The sequence below is a fragment of the Homo sapiens genome, chromosome 7 (genome assembly GCF_000001405.40).
Source record: "Homo sapiens chromosome 7, GRCh38.p14 Primary Assembly".
In the NCBI taxonomy this organism is placed as follows: Eukaryota; Metazoa; Chordata; class Mammalia; order Primates; family Hominidae; genus Homo; species Homo sapiens.
In genome coordinates, this window is record NC_000007.14 from 43,481,290 (window position 1) to 43,504,789 (window position 23,500).

The 23,500-nt window shown below is 42.8% G+C and overlaps 1 protein-coding gene across 19 annotated transcripts in view; it reads left to right on the forward strand.

Annotated features, from left to right (window-relative positions):
- The window catches only part of HECW1 (HECT, C2 and WW domain containing E3 ubiquitin protein ligase 1), a 453,355-nt gene that overhangs the window by 368,643 nt on the left and 61,212 nt on the right, over positions 1-23,500 (forward strand). For all 19 annotated transcript variants that reach the window (NM_015052.5, XM_017011883.3, NM_001287059.2 and 16 more), the window contains 4 exons: positions 10,786-10,891; positions 11,795-11,891; positions 19,410-19,493; positions 19,924-20,033. In NM_015052.5, the coding sequence (NP_055867.3) occupies positions 10,786-10,891; positions 11,795-11,891; positions 19,410-19,493; positions 19,924-20,033 (397 nt within the window). The remainder of the gene's footprint in view (positions 1-10,785; positions 10,892-11,794; positions 11,892-19,409; positions 19,494-19,923; positions 20,034-23,500) is intronic.

The following is a 23,500-nucleotide window of genomic DNA, read 5'->3' on the forward strand; positions in this document are numbered from 1 at the left end:
ATTCAAAATTCTTCATGAAGTTGAATATGCCTTTAAAAAGTTCAAGCTCTTTAATCTCATTAAGACAATTTCAGTATCCACATAGGGTAACTACATGTGATAAAGTAGCTGAGTACTGCAGACAGATTCACTGTCAATAAAACAAAAACTTCAGTTGTGCAAGATTAAGTCCCTAAAATACAGATCTCTTACAATTACAAGAAATTAGTCTGAAATGTAAATATTTAAAACCTTTCTAACTGAAAGAACAAGACTGAAACCATGGACACCACTTGCATTACCTGTTTTAAAACATGTGTTTCATGTGATTGAATAGCCCAAATAGAGTTAATTTAATATCATTTAAATCATTAATATCATTTGCCATAACATGTATGGCAAAGTGCCATCTGTATCAGTTAAGAACTAGCTGGGGCCAGGTGTGATGGCTCACACCTGTAATCCCAGCACTTTAGGAGGTCGAGGCAGGCAGATCACGAGGTCAGGAGATCAAGACCATCCTGGCTAACATGGTGAAACCCCATCTCTACTAAAATAATACAAAAAATTAGTCAGGCATGGTGGCGGGTGCCTGTAGTCCCAGCTACTCGGGAGGCTGAGGCGTGAACCCGGGAGGCAGAGCTTGCAGTGAGCCGAGATGGCACCACTGCACTCCAGCCTGAGCGACACAGCGAGACTCCATCTCAAAAAAAAAAAAAAAAAAAGAACTAGCTGGAAGACTCTAACACATATGATGAAAGGGCGTTGCTGTGTACCAGCCATCTGTCTGCTTCCTAATGCATCCACCCTGACTGTTCGTCACATTTCCAAACCTCACCCATCCCTATGCCCATCCTCTCTCTTCTGGTAGCTTTTGGCTGACAGAAGAGGACACCAAGAAAAGCAACGGAGAGAGAAGCCAAGAGGCAGAGAGTATCTGATCCAGAGGCAGTGCACCAGAGAAAACAAAGACTCGGCCTCTAAGAAAATAAATATGTGGTTCCTCCCACTGCAAGAGCCCTCAGCCTAGGGATAAGGAGACAGAGGGACTCTGGTATCAAAATAGAGGGGAGTGGGTGGTAGGAAATGTTGACTGCATTTGCTGTGATGTGATTTTGCTCAGCAAAAATTGATTCCATGCATGGCTTGCTATGAGCACTGTGGAATGCAAAATATGAGACAATCCCTGCCTTAGAGAAGTTTGTATTCCACTTTTGAAGCCAGGCCAAAAATACATACAGAGTTAAGTAACGAGAGAAATCAGAATATGGTTGAGTGGCAAGAGAGATGTTAGGATAAGTGCCACAAAAGTTCAAAAGAAGCCAAGGAAAAGTATCTTTTAAAATAAGGTGCCTGGCCAGGCACAGTGACTCATGCCTGTAATGAAAACACTTTGGGAAGCTGAGATGGGAGCATCACTTGAGCCTAGGAGTTTGCAACCAGTCTGGGCAGCATGGCAGGACCTTTTCTCTACAAAAATTTAAAAATTAGTCAGATGTGGTGGCGTGCACCTGTGCTCCCAGCTTCTCGGGAGGCTGAAGTGGGAGGATGGCTTGAGCCTGGGAGGTAGAGGCTGAAGCTAAATGTGTTCACACCACTGCACTCCAGCCTAGGCAACAGTGCAAGACTCTGTCTCAACAAAACAAAACAAATAATAAAATAAAATAAAGTACCTGACTAGAACTTGAAAACTGGTAGAATAGGTACAAAGGATGGGGAAGGGAAGCCTTACAGAGCACAGCCTAAGCAAAGGTGCAGAGGTCGGATTGAGAAAGGCTCACAGAGAGACAGTGACTAGTTCGGTCTGAGCCAAGCAACAGGTTCCCGCTTGCTGTGCCTTGGTTTTCAGAAAACTTTAGTGCTGCATGGAAGAGTTGGAACTTTTTTAAGGGACCACTGAATGAATTTGAGGAAAGTAATTGATTCATCCATTGTTTCAGGGTGAAGTCATCTCTAAAACACATTTGAGAGATGGGGAAAGACTCTTGGCATTTGGGGCAGGACAATTCTCTGATGTGTGGAATCATCCCATTACCTTGCAGGACTTTTTTTCCTGACCCCATCCATTAAATGTCAGGAGTGCCCCCAGTTCCCCAAGTCATTATGACAAAACAAAACAGAACAGCCCCCCAGCATTTCCACACACCCATAGATGGTAGCATTACCCCAGTGAAGAACCATTATTTTACAGTCCAGTAAACTGAAATACCAAGAGCTCACTTCACATAGGGAGTTCAGGACCACAGCTCAGGTTTCCTAACAGTCATCCATGCAAACTCTTTTTTTTTTTTTTTTTTTGAGCTAGAGTCTCGCTCTGTCACCCAGGCTGGAGTGCAGTGGTGCGATCTCGGCTCACTGCAACCTCTGCCTCCTGGGTTCAAGCGATTCTCCTGCCTCAGCCTCCCAAGTAGTTGGGATTACAGGCGTGCACCACCACACCTGTTTAATTTTTGTATTTTCAGTAGAGACGGGGTTTCACCATGCTGGCCAGACTGGTCTCGAACTCTTGACCTCAAGTGATCTGCCTGCCTCGGCCTCCCAAAGTGCTGGGATTACAGACGTGAGCCACCACGCCCAGCCACAAACTTATATTTTTAAAAGAAGACAATGAAAGCCAAGAAGAGGAAGGGCTGTGGCAAAGAGCTATTCGAGAGAGGCCTGCTAGAGACCACTGCCACAATCAGATGGAAGGGGATGAGGCCGAGTTGAGGTGACAAAGAGAAAACAAAGGGCAGCCCATAGGGAGAAGGCTCAAGGAAGTCAGGGGTTGTGGAGGAAAAAGTCACTGGGACTTCAGTCTGCAGACAGGCGTTCCAGCTCCGGCATGTCCACAGAGGAGCTGAGTATCAATCATTGTTCATTCCTCCCCTGCCAGGGACCCCAGCTTCCTCTGCAAATGGGTGACCACTAACGTGTGTTCCAGCTGTGTGATTCTCAGAGTCTGTGGGGCTTGATTCCACGTCTTCAGGACCGCATAACTAAGAGACCCATTAACTACATAGAGCTAAGAGGAGCAGGAAAGGCAGGACGGAAGGATGGCAGGTTTGTCTTTAGGCAAGTTGATAATGTGTGTGAAAATAGCAGGGTATCTGATTAGATATGACAGTTAAACAGATGGAAATATGAGACTCAGCAATCATCGATGGGTTATTTCCATAATCCATTATTTTTCTGTGTCCCGTATCACAGGCAATAGGGAATTAACTATAGATATTTCTTAGACTACAACTTACAAGTGTGGGTATTTTCTGTTCACCTACATAAGCCATTCTCTTGAGTGTTATTCAGCAGTTGATTTTTTTATAAATTGCATGTAAGGACAGAATTAAAATGGGTTTCTATATTAAGGATCCTAAATGGTAAAATGTTTTTCTTCAAACCCCAATGGCAGATTATTAATAGAAACATTGTTAAAAATATTTTGGATTGTCCTTTACCTCACCTGGAAAATTTTCAGACAGATTCCTGAAAGCAGTTATTACGAATATAGGATTTATACATAAAAAGATCGTTATTTGACACTTTCACTTGCATTTTAAGGCGGAGGCACATCTGTCTGCAATATATTCAAGCACCAGCAAAGCAGGCCTTATCTCTCCTCAGAATGTGTGACCAGAATAGGTCACAGATAAGTGGAGTGCTATGAATACTGGATCCCATCTTAGCAAGGAAATCACGAAAGGGTAACACATTTGCCTTGTTTACACTGCAATTCCTAATATAAGTTGACATCAATAAGGAAGGATAAGCAGAGCACATAATTTTCATTTCTTTTGCCATCTTATCTTGGTCAGGTTAGAAAATCGTTAGTCATAGAAAATTTCTGGAAGGTACACACCGAAAAAAAAGCTTGACAGTGACTGCCTCAGGAAAGGGCAAGAGTCTGACAGGGAAGAGAAGCTTGCTTCTCACTTTAGAAGCAGAAGTCACTCTTAGTCATTCTTTGCAGTGAGCTTCTTTGATGGCAGAAGTCATTTCATGGGCTCTGGTGACATGAAGGAATCTTCATTCAGGAAGCTTGCTTTTGGGGAGAGTAATTGCTGCATTGCTTCTTAAAATTGGTCATTTTCCTCTTGGCTCAATGTAACCTGCACTTGATCACAGGTTTGGCTGGAAGTTTGTAAAATTCAGACACCTTTGAAAATAAACTGTTTAATTACAGTCATACATCACTTAACAGCAGGGATACATTCTGAAAATGTTGTTGTTAGGCAATCTTGTCACTGTGGACATCCTAGAGTGCGCTTACACAAACCTAGATGGTATAGCCTACCACACACCTAGGCTGTACGGTATGGCTATGGCTCCCAGGCTGCAAACCTGTACAGCATATTAACTGTACAGAATCCTGTAGGCAGTTGTAACACAATGGTATTTGTGCCTCTAAACATATCTAAACATAGAAAAGGTAAAGTAAAAATACAATATAAAAGATTTAAAAAATAGTACACCTGTATAGGATACTTACAGTGAATGGAGCTTGAAGGACGGAAGTGGCTCTGGGTGAGTCAGTGAGTGAGTGACTGTGAGGCCTAGGACATTACTGTACACTAATGTAGAATATAAACACTGCACACTTAGGCTACACTAAATTTTTTTTATTATTATACTTTAAGTTCTGGGGTACATGTTTACAATGCGCAGGTTTGTTACATTTGTATACATGTGCCATGTGGGTTTGCTGCACCCATTAACTCATCATTTACATTAGGTATTTCTCCTAATGCTCTTCCTCCCCCAGCCCCCAACCCCACTACAGGCCCCTGTGTGTCATGTTCCCCTCCCTGTGTCCATGTGTTCTCATTGTTCAACTCCCACTTATGAGTGAGAACATGAGGTGTTTGATTTTCTCTTCTTGTGTTACTTTGCTGAGAATGATGGTTTCCAGTTTCATCCATTTCATCCATGTCCCTGCCAAGGACACGAACTCATCCTTTATTATGGCTGCATAGTATTCCATGGTGTATATGTGCCACATTTTCTTTATCCAGTCTATCATTGATGGGCATTTGGGTTGGTTCGATTTTTTTTTTTTTGAGATGGAGTCTCACCCTGTCTCCCAGGCTGGAGTGCAATGGCACGGAGTGCAATGGCACGATCTTGGCTCGCTGCAAACTCCTCCTCCTGGGTTCAAGTGATTCTTCTGCCTCAGCCTCCTGAGTAGCTGAGGCTACAGGCACGCACCCCTACACCCGGCTAATTTTTTGTATCTTTAGTAGAGACGGGGTTTCACCGTGTTGGCCAGGCTGGTCTCAAACTCCTGACCTCATGATCCACCTGCCTCGGCCTCCCAAAGTGCTGGGATTACAGGCGTGAGCCACCGTGCCTGGCCTAATTTTATTTTTTTAAAGCAATTACACCTGACATTGTGACAGCTATGACATGACCAGTGATAGGACTTTTTCAGCTCTATTATAAGCTTATGGGAACACCATTGCCTATGCATCCATTGTTGACTGAAACATCGCTATGTGGCACATCACTGTATGAACAATATGTAATGAATGCAGAATACAGACACAGATGGAAAAGCATAATTCCCCATCTGGAGACACAGGTACACATAAAAATAAAGACATTAGATTGTGTTGTCTATGGTTCTATATCCTAGTGCCTCGTAGACAGTTTCCACACCATTAACATTTTTCTATATTTAATCACATGGATCTACCATCATTTAACACAAGCCTTTCTTGAACATGATGTTTATTGCCCGCTTCTTATTATAAAAATATTGAACAACTCAAATATCTCTCTTTTGTTTCCTTAAGATAATTCTGACAACTTTGTTAATGATCTATTTTCAGAACACAGAAGGAATCTAGAGAGGAATGTAAATTCGTCCTTTGAGCCCTTCCTGTGAACTTGCTACATTTTTTTTTATCAAGTCTCCAGTGTTTGCAGAGAGAGGGTTAGCTGATTATTAACCCAAATTCAGTCTAAAACATGCAATTTTCAATCACAGCTTTAAGGAAACCCACAAGTGTACATTCCCAAATTGCAACATTGAAGAGCAGCTTGTTTACCAGTTGCTGAAAACTATTTTCTGAGGATATCTATTTTGTTTTGTCTGGAGAGCTAAATGTTTGAAGTTTTCACATTTACAATTATGATGAAAGCGATCGATATCAAAAGAAAAAGAAATCCTAAAAGTAGTCCCTACTACAAACTGGGTTTTACCCAATTATGGAAGAGTTGTTGCAGCATGTCTGGGGAAAGGCAGGCCACCAAGGGCTCTCTCTCCCCTCGCTCACCCCTTACCACATGTGCCCACACACGCACGTACACCCCTGAGAAACTTAATAAGACCAAAGGGGTCAAATGCCAGGAAATTAGAGTCATGTCATTTTGGTTTTAAATGGAAAATCAGTCCTGTAGTCATTTTCTGACCTTAGGAAAACAAAGCAGGCCGCGGATGGTGGCTCACACCTGTAATCCCAGCACTTTGGGAGGCAGGGCAGGAGGATCTCTTGAAGCCAGGAGTTCAAGACCAGCCTAGGCAACATAGCAAGAACCCATCTCTACAAAAACATTTTTAAAATTAGCTGGGCACAGTGATGTGTGCCTATAGTCCCTGCTATTCAGGAGGCTGAGGCAGGAAGATTGCTTGGGCCCAGGAGTTTGAGCTTGTAGTGAGCTATAATTGCACCACTACACTCCAGCCTGGATAACAGAGACTGTCTCAAAAAAAAAGGAAGAGAGAGAGAGAGAGAGAAAGAAAAAAGAAAGAAAGAAAGCCAGCCAGCCAGCCAGCCAGGCAGACAGTCACAGTGGCTAAAGCCTGTAATCCCAGCACTTTGGGAGACCGAGGCAGGCAGATCACCTGAAGTCAGGAGTTCAAAACCAGCCTGGCCAACATGGCAAAACCCCATCTCTACTAAAAATAGAAAAATTAACCAGGCATGGTGGTGCATGCCTGTAATCCCAACTACTCGGGAGGCTAAGGCATGAGAATCTCTTGAACCCGGGAGGCAGAGGTTGCAGTGAGCCAAGATCGCGCCACTGCACTCCAGCCTAGGCAACAGGGTGAGACTCCATCTCAAAAAAGAAAGAAAGAGGAAGGAAGGAAGGAAGGAAGGAAGGAAGGAAGGAAGGAAGGAAGGAAGGAAGGAAGGAAGGAAGGAAGGAAGGAAATGAAAGAAAGAGAGAGAGAGAAAGAAAGAAAGAGAAAGAAAGAAAGAAAGAAAGAAAGAAAGAAAGAAAGAAAGAAAGAAAGAAAGAGAAAGAAAGAAAGAAAAGAAAAGAAAGAAAAAGAAAGAAAGCCATGTTGGCATCATGTTTGCAGTGAGATTCAAATCAGTCACTCAGTTGCTGTCAGACGTCCCTCGGGATGGATTGTTTAGTACCAGTACAGGGCTTCAAGGATCCTAGCACATACTAAATCCTAGTTCAAACAGACCCTCGGAATTTCCTCCAGCCCTGCCTGAAACTGTCTTCATCGCTGTCCATTCCTGGGCCCCTTGTTGGAGAAGGGCGTTTCCATCCAATCCTCCTGTTCTCCAGGCTCTGGTCTTTGAGCCATCCAGTACCAACCAACCGTTTGCAGACATTTCTGTGGCTCAGGGACGCAGCAAGCCGTATCTCCCCCTGTGTTATTTCCTCTATCACACTCATATTAGGCATGAAGAATGTTTGTCAGTCAGTCATCTGCCTTTGGGCTAACTGGACTTCAGCTGGTTTCTGAAGTTTTTCAATCTGGCTCAGCTTTACCCGTGAGTGGGTGACCTCAGAAGTAGGCACCATTAATGAATTTCCTGTGAAGGCCAGGAATAGAAGTGAGCCTCTTTCTGTTTCAAAGCCTTATTCATTTCTGGGTGATGCCCTGACAGTTAGACACTTTCACTCAGGGCGAAACAACAAATGTTTCCTGAGTCCAGTGCACAGCCAAGCCTTCCCGAGCTCAGCCAGCAGATCTGGCTGTTTCCCCAGTTTCCCTCTGTAATTTATCACTTAGATAACCTTCAGCTGGTGGGTCTCTGAGAATCCTGTCTTTACAAGATCAATAATATTTTAAATACACGTTAAGGCAAACTGGCATGATTCCCTCCAAGAAAAAGAGACTTATAATTTCAATCCCAGAAAGCCTTTACATATTTATTTATTTATTTATTCATGGAGAAAAAAGAGAAGTATGAGGATTCAATACTGCATAGTTTATTGATCAGCAAACTTTTCTTTCATCTTTTGCTTTGTAAACATTTGAGACTGGAATGTGCTGCTGCAGAAATACCAGCTTCTAAACCCTGGTGTCTGGCTTTGCCAGCTGAGCAGAGCTGAGATCTAATGACATCAAAGTGAGAAGTCCACCAAAGTGGCACAAAATCTACTCCCTTGTCCTTCAAGTAGGCCATGGGCAATAAGAAGGACCAGGAGAGAAAACAGATGCATCTGCATCTCTACCCAACTTCCAGAAAAGCAGCAAAGACTACCACACACAGAGAGTGAACTGGTGGCCCCTGTCTGCATACAAAGGATGTTATCCTTGGGTGTGGAATATGGAAGTGGGAACCAAAGGAAAATCAGCAATGCCTGTGTTTGTCATTAGGGATCGTTAAGTAATTTGCCCTACATTACGATCTGCAATATCACACATGGCCTATTCTTAAGTGGCCGTTTGGAACTGACTTGTCTAGACTTTGTAGCACTGGTCCTCATCACCTTCCTGAATTCTGTGTGAGTGAGTTTTATGCTGGTCTCAGAGGGAGAAATGTCTTTCCTTTTTTTTAAATCTGGATGTTTGAACTCTTTCTAAGTGTCTTACAAAATTATCATCTGTTACATTAAATTAAACTTGGCTTGAGGATGCCTTCATACTTTTGAGTCATTACGTAATGGATTGCCACCTCACTTGGGACATGAATTAACTGAAAGCCTAATTTGGGAGTATACTTTGGCAACAAAGGGTTGAGTCTCAGCCAATCACAACAGCCAAGCTTCAGTCAGTTGCAGGTGGCTAACTGATCAGACCATGTTCAAATAAGGCAAACACTGAGCTGCTTCCGTACCATGCTCCCATTCCCCAACCGTAAATGCTGCCTGCCCATGGTTGCAGAATGGAGCTCTCTCCTCCCTTTCTGGTTCTGGTTCTGAGTGAGGACCACCCCATTCTCACACCATTCTTTGATCAATTAAACTCTGTAAGTTTACTTTGTCTAAAGTCTTTAACACTTCAAAATTCTTAACTATTTTAAAGCCTATTTTAGCATACTTTGACAAATATCATAGGATGAGTTACACTCTACATTAAATCCCATATATCTGGTGAATGTACTGCAATGTGGAAAATCTATAATGCCTCTATAGATTTTAACATCTTACTCTGCAAGGGTCTTAAAAAACAAAATGTATGTAGAATCACAGTGAGAATGTCCATTATCATGCTCTAGAACTGCATAGTTTATTGATCAGCAAAGTTTTCTTTCACCTTTTACAAAGGTGATTTTTTTTAATTTACAAAATTTAAAATTGAGCTAAGTTAGTTTTTTTGTTTTGTTTTGTTTTGTTTTTGAGATAGAGTCTTGCTGTGTCGCCCAGGCTGGAGTGCAATGGTGCAATCTCGGTTCACTGCAACCTATGCCTCCTGGGTTCAAGGGATTCTCGTGCCTCAGCCTTCCGAGTAGCTAGGATTACAGGCATGCGCCACCATGCCTGGCTTATTTTTAGATTTTTAGTGGAAATGGGGTTTCACCCTGGTGGCCAATCTCAAACTCCTATCCTCAAGTGATCCACCTGCCTCAGCCTCCCAAAGTGCTGGGATTACAGGTGTGAGCCACCGCACTGGCAAAATTGAGCTAATTTAGTTTAAAGTTAATCATCACAAGTATCAACTTTAGGCTAAGCAAGTTATTTATCTCTGAAGTTTTGTCAAAATGCCTAAGCTGAACCAAGATATTGGAAGCAGGCAGGCAGTGTGGAAGGAGTAAACAAGTGCTTTGCAGTCAAGTATTAGAATCCTGGTTATCCCCCTGTCTTACGGTTGTAAACCTGGGGAAACTTTACTTTTCCTGGATCCTCAGATTCCCTATTTGTAAATTTTGGTTAATAATGCTTATCTTGCAGAATTTGTTAGGATATATAAGATGCTATGTGAACAGAAGCCAGCACAGTGAATGCAATAACAGGCATTCAAGAAAGAATGAATGTAATCAATACTATTTAAACAAGAAGTCCATTATACATTTGGTACTAAAGTTCAATGCTACCTTGGAAAGTTATAGGCGTACCTTACCAATGATATTTATCTAGGATTTATCTCTCTTTAACAAATTTATGATGAGAAATGTTTCTTGGGCTATTCAGTGTATTAATTTGATTAATATTCATGACTTTGACATGATCACTTCTTTTTTTTTGAAACAGAGCCTTCCTCTGTTGCCCAGGCCAGAGTGATTTCGGCTCACAGCAACCCCTACCTCCCAGGTTCAAGTGATTCTTCTGCCTCAGCTTCCCAAGTAGGTGGGATGACAGGCATCTGCCACCACATCTGGCTAAGTTTTGTATTTTTAGTAGAGATGGGGTTTCACTATGTTGGCCAGGCTGGTCTCAAACTCCTGACCTTGTTATCAAGGTCTCAGCCTCCCCAAGTGCTAGGATTACAGGCGTGAGCCAGATGGCTTTCTTAACCATAGTATAGCACATCATCAACTCTACTTAGACACTTTTGTAAGCTTTCTTTTCCATCACTTTTTTACTTTTTCAACTTAGGTGACTTCAAAATCTTTTACCCCTTAGGTTGAAAAACTGGTATCAAGAGACATCTGAAATTGATACAAATTTCTAATGCTTATGCTTTTATTCTAAAATTAGGCCTCAGAAGTTTCTAGAAACAGAGGAGCCTCTTTACTGGCCAGGCCAGGACACAGCTTAGTAGCTGCTATTCGAAGCCAACATCAACATGAGTCATTGCCACTGGGTATGTATCATGCTTGTTTGAGCCCCTGGCTCAAAGAATAGCAACACCTAGACTTGATTTTTTGTTTGTTTTTCTGGTTTTTGTCATGAACCCTTTACTATTCAACATTCTGTCTTTCCTTTCTCCTCTTTTAGGATATAGTGCACACCCCGACCCCTGCTACCATCCACCCCTCTGTCCTTTTCCCCTCTCCCTTCCTCCTCACCTATCTGTTCCCCTCCCTGTCTTTTCTGTTCTTTCCCAAACTCTCAGGTCCTTTCTTCCTTATTCTATTCAGTGATTTGTTAATCCCGTGCACAAGAGCAAGGTTTAAATGAGGTGAATTTTACTGTTTTTAGACAGTTTTTAATGTATACCTCTCTTTCCATGTATGTATGGCATAAAGTTTGCAGTGTCCATTCCTAACTTCAGCCACCTCTTTCCAAAACATATGCCACTTGTATCGAGGAAAATGAAATGAGAGCATCTAAATGGTATTTCCATTATCACTACTGGGAAATCGACACATGGATTACTTTGCACTCATAAAGAATCTTTTCCATAACTACAGCAAAATGACCAAGAAAAGTTAGAAGGAAGAGAGGAGAACTCCTCTTATGGGAGAGCTATTTTGTTCTCCTTTACCTGTTCATGCAGAGATGCATTAATACCCAGTAAAGATCCTGAAACGTTAAGGACGATTAACAGAGATCTGGTTCACTTTTAGTTTGATCCCTTAAAAAATTATAATGTTATTATGTCATATTTTAAAAACTCTCAAGAGCTTGCATTTTTTTGATGAGTATGCTGCCTGCCCTTCAAACTCCTTCATTAATCCTGGTATCAAGCAGCCATTTTCCAATCATCAGAGTGATTATCTCTGGGCTGCAGACTCAACCACAACTGTGCTTTTGTCTGTTTCAGCATATAATGACAAGATTGTGGCATTTCTTCGCCAGCCAAACATTTTTGAAATGCTGCAAGAGCGTCAGCCAAGCTTAGCAAGAAACCACACACTCAGGTAAGCCTCGCCCCTCACTCCCTGGAACTCTAGGTCTTTCCAGCCATTTTTCCCGGTGGGAAAACACCTCTGTGGAGACAGAGCGGAAGCTTATTATACATTGTATTTGTGCATTTAAATGAGAACTTGAATCCTCAAGATGAAGGGTTCGGGGTTCCTGTATTCTGGGAAATGGCATAATCAGAGATGGTCATATTATCAGATTACATATCATTTATATGGTACTGAAATGATTTCCATTGATGTAGGGGGGGGAAGGACAGAAAGGAAACAAAATAGCTTCCATTAAAAAATTATTTATGTACAGCACTGTATAAATTACTTTTAGTTTTGAAATATAATTGTTGAACGGTAAACCAAATATTGAGCAGCCGTGTTCGAAAATAAAAAAGCAAACAAAAAGTTTCTTGTGTGTTCTAACTACTTACATCTTATGCTTCATTAGGGTCATTTTTGAACAAGTGCCCTGAAACTCTGAATCACATGTGGAAGGGATAGCGATCTGAAATGATAAAAAGAGAAAATATTCCCTGAACTTAAATCCTGCTTTCTCACCAAAATATTCAAACATCTTTTTCCTTCGGTTTACTCTCCAACGTTCCAAAATCTGGAGAGGCATGGGGGTTAAGAGTACATCTCTTTGACGTTTGAATTTTCACTCCAACAGGTAGGGACTATTGATGGAGGCGTGTTATTCAACTCTCTGCCCTTAGTCTCCCAAATGGGGGTCACAAAGTGGGCATGGTTGCAATACTTACTTGAGGATGTGTAAAGGTTAAGGCAGGGCAGGCTAGAATCCCATCAACGGCTGCATTTCATTATTCCCTGCCCATGTGGTGCAGTCTTGTGAATGGGGCTGATACCTGCAATACCATACTCCGACTTCCTCGGGGAATCACTGACAGCTTCAAGTAGTCTCTGCTTTTCAACCCTTGCCACTCCCGCCAGAATGGATCATTCACTATTCTTTCCCCTCCAACACCCCCTCATTGACACCTCTTTTCCCTGTATTTTCACTCTGTAAATTAGAGCCACTACCCTCCCAGCTGTCCCTGATCTCCTCTCCTCCCTCTTCTTCCACCTCCACACCTAAACATTCACCTCCTCATACTCTCTCCTCCATCCTCATTTTCTCTTCTCCCTGCCATGGTTCAAGTTTAGGTGCTCATCATCTCTCTTCTGGACCATACAGGGGTTTCTCCTAAAATATTCCCTATCACCCTATCATAACCAGAGTTACCTACGTAAAGCATAGATTAAATCATGACCTCCCTACCCTTCAAAAAAGCTTTCATGGTTTCCATCACATATGAAATAAAGTCAAGATTTTTTTTTTTTTTTGAGACAGAGTCTTGCTCTGTTGCCTGGGCTGAAGTGAGATGGTACAATCTCAGCTCACTGCAACATCTGCCTCCCAGGTTCAAGCAATTCCTGAGCCTCAACCTGACAAGTAACTGGGACTACAGGCATGTGCCACCACACCCAGCAAAATTTTGCTAATTTTTGTGCATTTATTAGAGGTGGAGTTTCACCATGTTGGTCAGGCTGGTCTCAAACTCCTGACCTCAAGGGATCCACCCATCTCAGCCTCCCAAAGTACTGGGCTTACAGGTGTTAGCCACCTCACCCAGCCTAAAGTCAAGATTTCTAAGCATAATGTCCATGGTCTCAAAGTCTGGCCCTAACCTAACTCTCCATCCTGCACTAAGCTTTTCCTTCCAGGGTATTCCACCTCCACCACACAGGCTGCGTACTCTCCTGCCTTTGTCTTTCCGGGAATGACTTCCCTATTAAGGACATCTCATCCCGTTTTAAAGGCTCAGATCAAAAGCAAAACTTCAGTGATCTAGGCAAGCTTTAGTATTTCTTTTTCTTTGAGGGGGTGGGAACTTCCTGATGTTACCATGGCATTTGTTTTTTTGTTTGTTTGTTTTTAATTTTTTTTATTATACTTCTAAGTTCTGGGATAAATGTGCAGAAAGTGCAGGATTGTTACACAGGTATACATGCACCATGGTGGTTTGCTGCACCCATCAACCCGTCATCTACATTAGGTATTTCTCCTAATGCTATCCCTCCCCTAGCCCCCATTCCCCAACAGGCCCCGGTGTGTGATGTTCCGCTCCCTGTGTCCATGTGTTCTCGTTGTTCAGTTCCCACTTATGAGTGAGAACATGTAGTGTTTGGTTTTCTGTTCTTATGTTAGTTTGCTGAGAATGATGGTTTCCTAGTATTTCTTTTGTCTTGCTTTGATAGTATGCTTTTTGTGCCTCGAAGATATTTTTAGATCTCTTGTATTCTGTCATTTACTTGTGTCTCCCTACAGCACTCTAAGCTCTTTAGAGCAAGGCCTTTCTCTTCCTTGTCTTTGTGCCCACTCTGCCCCTTACAACCTGGTCCTCTACTTTGAAAATAGGAAACACCAATTACTTTTAGAGTGAATGAAAGATCTTTAGCATGAACAAGTGATCTTTAGCGTGATGAATGGCCACTTTCATTTATGTTCAACTCTTAAGAATTCTCTCCCCTGGTTTCATTACTGCACTGCTGCAGAAGGCAGAGTCATATTCAGCCACCTGGGTCATTCATTCATGGGCTGCTCTTTGACTCACCTAACAACCCAAGGGAATTTTCAAGGGATTTCCAGGGATGTTGTATTATCTTAAGGGTTTTTGACGCGTGGTTGTTCTTGAACATTCTTTACGTTACTGATTCTACCATTAAGTAGTGAGTTCACTGCTTGCTTTGTGGAAGAATTTCAACTCACCAAAGACACAAAAGTCTCATTTTAATCATTAGAAAAGGTTTTTTTTTAAGTAATTCCCTACATAAGTGAGTGGAATGTATTTCCAAAAGGCAGTAGACTGTTTTCATCCCTATTATATATCACATTACAACAATCCAAGAAACTTTAAATGTTTTGTTGCAATATGGGATTGTACAATTATGATTTTGCAGAGCTGGGGGAACTTGAAATCAGGCCACGTTGGAATTGGAAAAAAAACTTGGAAATTATCTAGTATGGAAACTAATAACCTATTTTAAGGTTATGGACTCCTTTGAGATGCTGATGGAAGCACTTATGGACTCTCCTCCACATATAAATATAAACCTCTGAATATAATTTCAAATAGTTAATGGACCCTAAGGAAACTGTGGACCCAGGTTGAGAACCCAAATATTTCATCAAAAACAGAAGGCTCACGATGACTATCAGAAACTGGACTATGTGATGATAGAACTAAAACAGCAGAAAGCAAAGAGCAAGAACTTGTTCTTCAGGAGGTCAAGCTTAAGAGATGCAGGAAGCCAGGCCCTGCTTTCCATGAGGAGGCATCCACCTGCCCCTGAGTGCCATGTCAGGGTGAGTCAGATCCACTTTGAAGGTTCAGGAGTTGAAGAGAATACCACTCTCCTCAGGACCCCACCCAGAAGAACTCATGGCTTCCTCTGTGGTCCCCAAGAGCAGATGGTGACCCCTGTTCAGCCATTGCTATTCTCAGGGAGTCATGGAGTCTCTGTCTTGGGTCTGCAAAGCCAGTTGCTGGGTTTGAGTATGTAGAAAACTGTCCAGTTGACAGCAGTGACTTGCGGTGAAAAGCAGGAAGCCACATGTAGAGAAGGGGATGGAGCCAGAAAACCCAGAGGTTAATGGCATCTGTTATCTTCAAGGGGCATGGAGGTGGTCCTTCAACTAGTGCTTTGATTGTGTCACTCATCTGAATCAGGATTGTCCCAGGGCTATGTATGCAGTAGCAAGCGAAACAGACCTGTAAATTCTCAATGAATTTACAATCTACTGAGGGAGACAGATAATAGACAAGCTTGGGGTTTGTTTTTTTAAGCCATATACAGCTGCATAATATGTTAAGTGCCATGAAGAACATGATTAGAATTCAGCAATAGTGGATAATATGCTGGTGCAGAGGAAGAGGACTTACATCCTAAACAGAACACAGGGAAGGCTTTTCCAGGTAGGTGATGCTTAAGCTGAAACCTGAAGGATGAGAAGGCATTGTCCCTTGAGATGCAAAGTGGAGATCAGGGAGAGAGTATGCAATGGCCCTGAGGCAGGAAAAGCTTAGATGTAGGTGAAAAATGAAAGAAAGCTAGTGTGGCCCAGGAGTAGATTGGGAGGGTAGGTGAGACCTACCATGGTGAAGTTGGAGAGGGAGGCCCTATCACCAACCGGAAACATTTTATTTGAATTGCGATTCTATTTGAGAAGTGATTGAGAAGTTTTCAGCTGGAAAGAAATATGATTGCATCTGTGTTTTTAGTGACCACAGATGCAATCATATTTCATCTGTTTTTCATGACCACCAATGAAATATGATTGCAGCTGTGGTCGTTAAAAACACAGATGCAATGTTTAGGCAGCTCTGTGGGGAAAAGATAGGCTGGGGAGGGGCATAAGATGGAACAGGGGCTATGCAGGAGACTATTATATTCATCCATGATGATGGTCGTGTGGATAATGGGAAAATATGGATGAAGAGAAGGGAGCAGTTTGGGGTGATACTGTGGATGCAAAAACAACAGGAGCTGATGACAGCTTGAACATGGTGGGTGAGGAGAAGAGAGTAATTAAGAATGACAGCCAAGTGTGGGGCTTGTGCAGGTGAATGGATAATGGCATCATTTACTGAGATGGGAAAGAGTGGAGGAGGAACTGGCTTGAGGAGAGGAAGAATGTCAAGGATTTTATTTTGGATATTGAGTTTTGAGGTCTTTGAAGCCACAAGCGGCTTCAAATGTCAAGATGTCAAGGAGGCAGTCGCCTGTCCTGTCCTGAACTCTAGGGAAAGTGTGCTCTGGAGTTCTCCCGATGGTCAAGGGATATATGTAGGAGAGACAGCTGGCATTCTTGCCCTTAGATGGCTTCCTCAGTTCTCAGTGCACTTTGGGATGGAGTCCCAGGGGCATCTGGAGGTCCCTTACACCACTGGCTATGCATGACATGTTGCCAGACATGACAGAGGATATAATGTCTGGTGGAGAGCCACCAAAACTCTCAGAAAATCGGGCTTAGCATTCAGACACCTGGATGTGGTCCATATGGTGGTGCCACGATAGAACCACTGTGCTGGGTGGCACTTTCTAAACTGGGGACTGCACTTTGCTGCCCTAGTGGAGATGGCCCTCTCTGGGCTTCTTTTTCCCGCAGGGAGGGAGGCCAGTGGCTTAACCAGATGTTGATCCCTTGGGGCAGGAGGATAACCTGCCCAAGGGTACATTATCATTGGGAGAGCATATAGATTTGAGGTCATTCATAAGGCCAAAATCATTAAATTAGAGAAGATTCAAGAGCATCTTCCAAATAACGGGGCTGTGAGGTGGTGTCAGGATTTGGAGGAGAAAGCCCAGGGCTGGGGTTGAGGACATAGGCAGAGGGAGAAGAAGGTGATGAGAGAGATGGGGATGTTCTGTTCTCTTTGCTGGGCTTTCACATGTTCCCTGCTAAATGACATGTGGACACTGCTGCTCCCTTTTTCAACCCAGTCAAAGAAGCCACTGTGAACACCCCCCAGGTTCTGGTGATGCCATTTCCTGCAACGGTGCTTCACCCGCACTGAAGTTGGATCAGAGTGCATTTCCCTGTTTAATCCCATTCTGTCTATCTTTGTAGAGGCTCAAAATCTTCCCTTGCCTTAAAAAAAAAGATCTCCATACCAAAAGGTCAAATTGACTATATTTTTTGCCTGAAAATCTCTAAGTTATGATGAAGATTTGGATTTATATTAATATAATCAAAGAGAGGAAAAAGTTGTACCTGCAGTATTTTGGAAAATAGATTTTTTTTTTCATTCATCTTTTGGGCCAGGCTCAGTGGCTAAAGCCTGTAATCCCAGCACTTTGGGAGGCTGAGGCAGGCGAATCTCTTGAGCCCAGGAGTTCAAGACCAGCCTGCGCAACATGGTGAAACCCTGTCTCTACTAAAAATACAAAAATTAGCCAAGCCTGGTGGTGTGCGTTTGTAGTCCCAGCTACATGGGGGGACTGAGGCAGGAGGATCACTGGAGCCTTGGGAGGTTGGGGCTTCAGTGAGCTGTGATCAGGTCACTGCACTGCAGAGTGAGCAACAGAGTGAGACCCTGTCTCAAAAAAATAAAAAATTTTTTAAAGAAAATACAAAAACCTAGCTGAGTGTGGCGGTGCATGCCTATAATCCCAGCTACTCAGGAGGCTGAGGCACAAGAATCGTTTGAACGCAGGAGGCAGAGGTTGCAGTGAGCTGAGATTTTACCACTGCCCTCCAGCCTGGGCAACAGAGCAAGACTCTGTCTCAAAAAAAAAAGAAAGAAAGAAAGAAAGAAAACAAAAGAAAAGAAAATCATCCATCTTTTACCACTGGGAGAAACTGAGTGAGGGGTATACAGGATCTGTCTGTTTATTTCTTATAATTACACATGACTCTAAAATTACCTCAAAGTGTAAAAATTAAACAAGAAAAGAAAAAAGTTAAAGATTAAAAAAAAACATCCTTAATTTTCCCTATTTCTGCTGCATCTCTTCAAAAAAGGCAAAAAATATTAACTCCTTTGAAGCATGCATACGATAGAAAGATTCTTGGATATGGTGTTTGTAATATTTGAGTAACATCAGGGAAGCAAATTAAAAAGTTAATTTGATCCAAAAAAATCCTACTTATCCATAGACTTACTTGAAATAATTTGCCGAGTTGGAGTTGGAGGTTGTCTAAAAGGATCAGAATACACGAGTTGTAGCTGACAGAGACAAAATTGATGCCTGTGCCTTGACTGACCTGGGAGACTGTTCTTGGTTCTTGGGGCCGGGCCCCCTCTGTGCCCAATGTGGCATCATAAATTTTCCATCAGGCACAAGATTTCTCAAGAGACACTCACCCCGCAACTCACTCTTTCCTCCCATGGCTTCCAACACGACATGAGCCAAGAACAGTCTTTTTTTTTTTTTTTGAGATGAAGTCTTCCTCTGTCGCCCAGGCTGGAGTGCAGTGGCACGATCTCAGTTCACTGCAACTTCCGCCTCCCGGTTCAAGCGATTCTCCTACCTCAGCATCCTGAATAGCTGGGATTACAGGCAGGCAACACCACACCTGGCTAATTTTTGTATTGTTAGTAGAGACAAGGTTTCACCATATTCCTCAGGCTGGTCTTGAACTCCTGATCTCGTGATCTGCCTGCCTCAGCCTCCCAAAGTGCTGGGATTACAAGTGTGAGCCACTGTGCCCCGCCCCAGAACAGTCTTTCAGGAGCAATCTCTTACCCAGCTCCACTCCTGACTGTCTTAGCTACCTGAGGACCTAACTTTGCTGTGTTCCTCAGCTTCTGTACCTGTGCAAGTCTGTAGAAAAGCCATCCCTCATAGAGCATCCTGAGAGCCTGTGATACAAACTTAGAATTCTGCAAAATACATAGGACGTTAGGACATTGCTATTCAGCAGTATTGGAAGAGGAAATAAGAGATCAGAAGAAAATGTATTTCTGAGTTTATGTGTTGGCATCTAATTTTCCTCTTCTTTCTCACATGATTCAGGGAGAAAATCCATTACATTCGGACTGAGGGTAATCACGGGCTTGAGAAGTTGTCCTGTGATGCGGATCTGGTCATTTTGCTGAGGTAGGGGGCTAGGCCTGAAATCCTTCTGGAAAAGCTTCCCTGGGCAGCTCTCCTCCATCACGGCCACCCTGAAAATGGCCTAGACTGAAAAACTCACCGCTTGTTCTAGAGGATTCTAGTAACTGCAACGCAAGTGGGACCCCACCCTTGTACCTGTGTCCATCACAGTCCTTAGATTTGCAATTGAGCTAGCAAGAGCTGCGTAAAGTACTTGATGGAGACTTTGTTGTAGGATTAATCAAGGTTTAAAACAACACTGAGAATTTGCAAGCAGCATGTACCTATCTTTCTGTACTACATTTAAATCTAATTGCTTTTGTTGCTTTGTGAGAAGTGTAAGTGCTGCTACCCCAATTCGTGAACACTTTCTCAGGGATGTAAAACTGACTTTCTTTTCTTTCTTTTTTTTTTTTTTTTTTTTCATATGCAGTCTCTTTGAAGAAGAGATTATGTCCTACGTCCCCCTGCAGGCTGCCTTCCACCCTGGGTATAGCTTCTCTCCCCGATGTTCACCCTGTTCTTCACCTCAGAACTCCCCAGGTAACAGGAATCTGGCCTAATAGCTCCTGTTAAGTGGCCACGTGTGTTTCCTCCAGTGAAGGTGAATGAAAGGCAACTGTATGTGTGTGTTCTTTCTCTCGGCCTTCCCAATTCCCTAATTGAAAATGCACTCTATCAGGTTTTGACAAATGGCTGCCTGTTTTTTGTAATGCCCCCCAAGCTAGAATGGGGTTTACAGTTTGAAATGGTTGGGAAAAAAATGTTTTGCTGGGCAGGTGGCTCATGCTTATAATCCCAGGGCTTTGGGAGGCCAAGCCAGAAGGATCACTTGAGTCCAGGAGTTCAAGACCAGCCTGGGCAACATAGCGAGCTCCCCTTCTCTACAAAAAAATTAAAACTAAGCCAAGTGAGGTAGCATGTGCCTGTAGTCCCAGCTACTAGGGAGGCTGAAGCAGGAGGGTTCCTTGAGCCCAGCAGGTTGAGGCTGCAGTGAGCTATGATTTCACCACTGCCCTCCTGCCCATACAACAAAGAGAGTCCCTATCTAAAAAAAAATAAAAAAGAAAGAAAGAAAGAAAAGAAAAAAATTAAGACAGTATTTTATGACATGTGAAAACTGTATGAAATTTAAATTGCAGTGTCCATAAATAAAGTGTAATTGGACCTCAGCCATGCCTGTTCTATGCTAGCTTTCACACCAGACTTGAGTAATAGCAACAGAAACCACATGGTCTGCAAAGCCTCAAATATTTACTCTCTGGTCCTTTGCAGAAAAAGGTTACTGTCCCTGCTCTAAATTGTTGCATTCCAAAGTCACTCTCCGAGCATTTCAAACGGAAGAGCCCTTTCTGAAACATTCTGCCTTGTGACTCTGAATCGATTGCACACCACTTTTGGTGATACAGCTACTAGGAACCATTGTTATATCTCCACAAAGATTCCAAAGAATTTCCTTACACATTTCAAAATTATTCCTCCTGTTTTCTTTATGTATGAGAATGAACTTGTGGTACAAAAATTCTTTGCAGGTATTTTCCATTCCAAGTGAGAGAATACATATGTTGAACTGTTTAGTGAATAAAAGATATTTTCGCCAGACACAATGGCTAACCCGCGTAATCCCAGCACTTTGGGAAGCTGAGGTGGGCGGATCACTTGAGCCCAAGAGTTCGAGACCAGCCTGGGCCATATAGTGAGACCTCATCTCTACCAAAAAAAATTTTTTTTAATTAGCCAGGTGTGGTGGTGCACGCCTTTAGTATCAGCTATTCAGGAGGCTAAGGCGGGATCTCTTGAACCCAGGAGACAGAGGTTGCAGTGAACCGAGATTGTGCCACTGCACTCCAAGCACTAGGCAACAGAGCAAGACCCTGTCTCAAAAAACAAACAAACGAAAAAAAAGATATTTTCTGGATTCATCAAGATAAAGAGCTTAGGTCAAATCCATACCTCCAGACTGGATCCAGATATTGGAGAATTTTTCCATTCGTATTTGACTTGCATTATCACATTGTTGTAGGTTTCATTTAAAGTAAAAGAGATCAGTTTGAAACATGTAGGAACATCCTATCTCAGAAGCTCTAGGGCCAGGGTTGGAGCATGGTTTTTGAAGCCAGTGGTAAAATTCCCAAGAGAAACAGAACTTGGTAATAAGCTTTGTCTCTGAGAAGGGATGTCGCACTCAGAGTTAGTATCATTCAGTACTGCCGTAGGTCTCCAGACTAGAGTATCTTTTAGTCTGGTTCCTCCAAGTTGTAGCATTCAGAAGTCCCTCTTAGAGGTAGTTGTGCTCGTCGTTAAAATATGTTTTCAAGATAGTATCTCCCTGTTGTCACTTCCTCCAAACAAGTGTACCAACAGCATTGTTAAGGAAATGTGCAATGCTTGCTACCTCTGACGCACAACATAATTAAATCCCATTGCCTAAAAAGACCAGGAGCTTTGCTGGAGCCGACATCAATACAGTCACACACTTTTAGCACTCATAGGATGACCTACTTTTGGGGAGCGAAGACAAAAGTAAGGGGTTTGGGGGGAAAAGTTTGGAGAAGCTGTAGGACTGCATGATGGTCTGCCATGTTGTAGAGATTGTCCCAGCCTGATAATGTGCCTATGCTTTGGTCTACAGACTTTGATACTAGACTATGATGTTAACATCATTATATGGGAGAGATATCATATTGCAAATAGAAAAATAAGAGTAAATGAAGAGTTATTTCCTATATGAGAATTATTTGGATATTCTAAAAGGAATAAACTTTCCTGATAGAGATATGACTGATGCCGTGAATCTAAGTAATCATCCAATTCATTTTGTCAAAGTACTTCTTTATTCTCTAGCATTGACCACAGGGTCCTAGAATATGTAATCCAAATACGTTGATTTTAAACTTTACAATCCCCATTCTCTTAGACTGGTATGAAATCTACCCAGGTGCTACAGAGATGGTGAATCATGAAGTTTATGCCAAAGTACTCTGTAAAGCAGAAATTATTTGAAAAATGCACAGCAGTCATCATGGGGACAGGTGATAGTACCAGCGGTAGTGAAAATCATAATTAATAAAATATACTGAAATGTGCTGGACAGAAAATTATACTTGCACTTACAGACCTGTATTCTAGTTCTGTGTACATCCCAAAACCTGGTATTCCACCAAGACCACTTCTTTTCAAGTGGTGGCCATTGGTTCCCTCAGGCCCAGGTGTTTGGGGCCCAGGTAGGCGGGGCCCCAACGCTTCCTTGCTTTTATCACTCAGCCATATCCCTCCCCTCCCTTTCTCCCAGTTACTGTCATCTACCAACCTTTTTCTCATTCTCAAGGCCTGTGGCCCCTGCCTTGTAGTCTTCCTCTCCTTCCCAAGCAGGTCCTTCCGTCCTCCTGGATGACTTCAACATCGACAGGGACCCTCATTCCGTTCCCTGGCTTCCCAGTCTCTAGACTTTGTCTGCAATGACTTTCTCCTCCCCTGCCTCAACCACTTACTCCCAAAATCACATTCCTGACCTTGTGATCATCTCCACAATCGCTAATTCAAACCTCCTCTTCTCTTCCAATGTGCTTGATCCACTACCCTTCCTACTACCACCCTTTGGCCTCATCAAGGCCTCTGGTTCACGGACTTTTCTCCTTTCCTTTCTAACGTCTTTCCCTGATGCAGCGTAGATTCTGCGGTTCATCATTTCAATAGCACCCTTGCCAATGCCCTGAACTCCCCTGGCCCTCTCCGTTTTGTTTCTACCCTCTGGCAGAGCTTCACCCCTAGATGAACCTTCCTGTCTGCTTCCCCCACTTCTGCAATCAGGCACTCTTGGGTAAATTCACCTCACAAGGCAGATTATTAATTCTAAATTAGTCATCTCTCATCTCACATGAACCTTGAACACCCAAAGGAAAATTCTAGCACATTTTTTCGATCTCCTCTACTATTATTTCAAACATTTCCCCTAAAGCCTCCAACCCTCAGCACCCTTCCTCTCTCCTAGCAAATGACGTCCTGTTTTA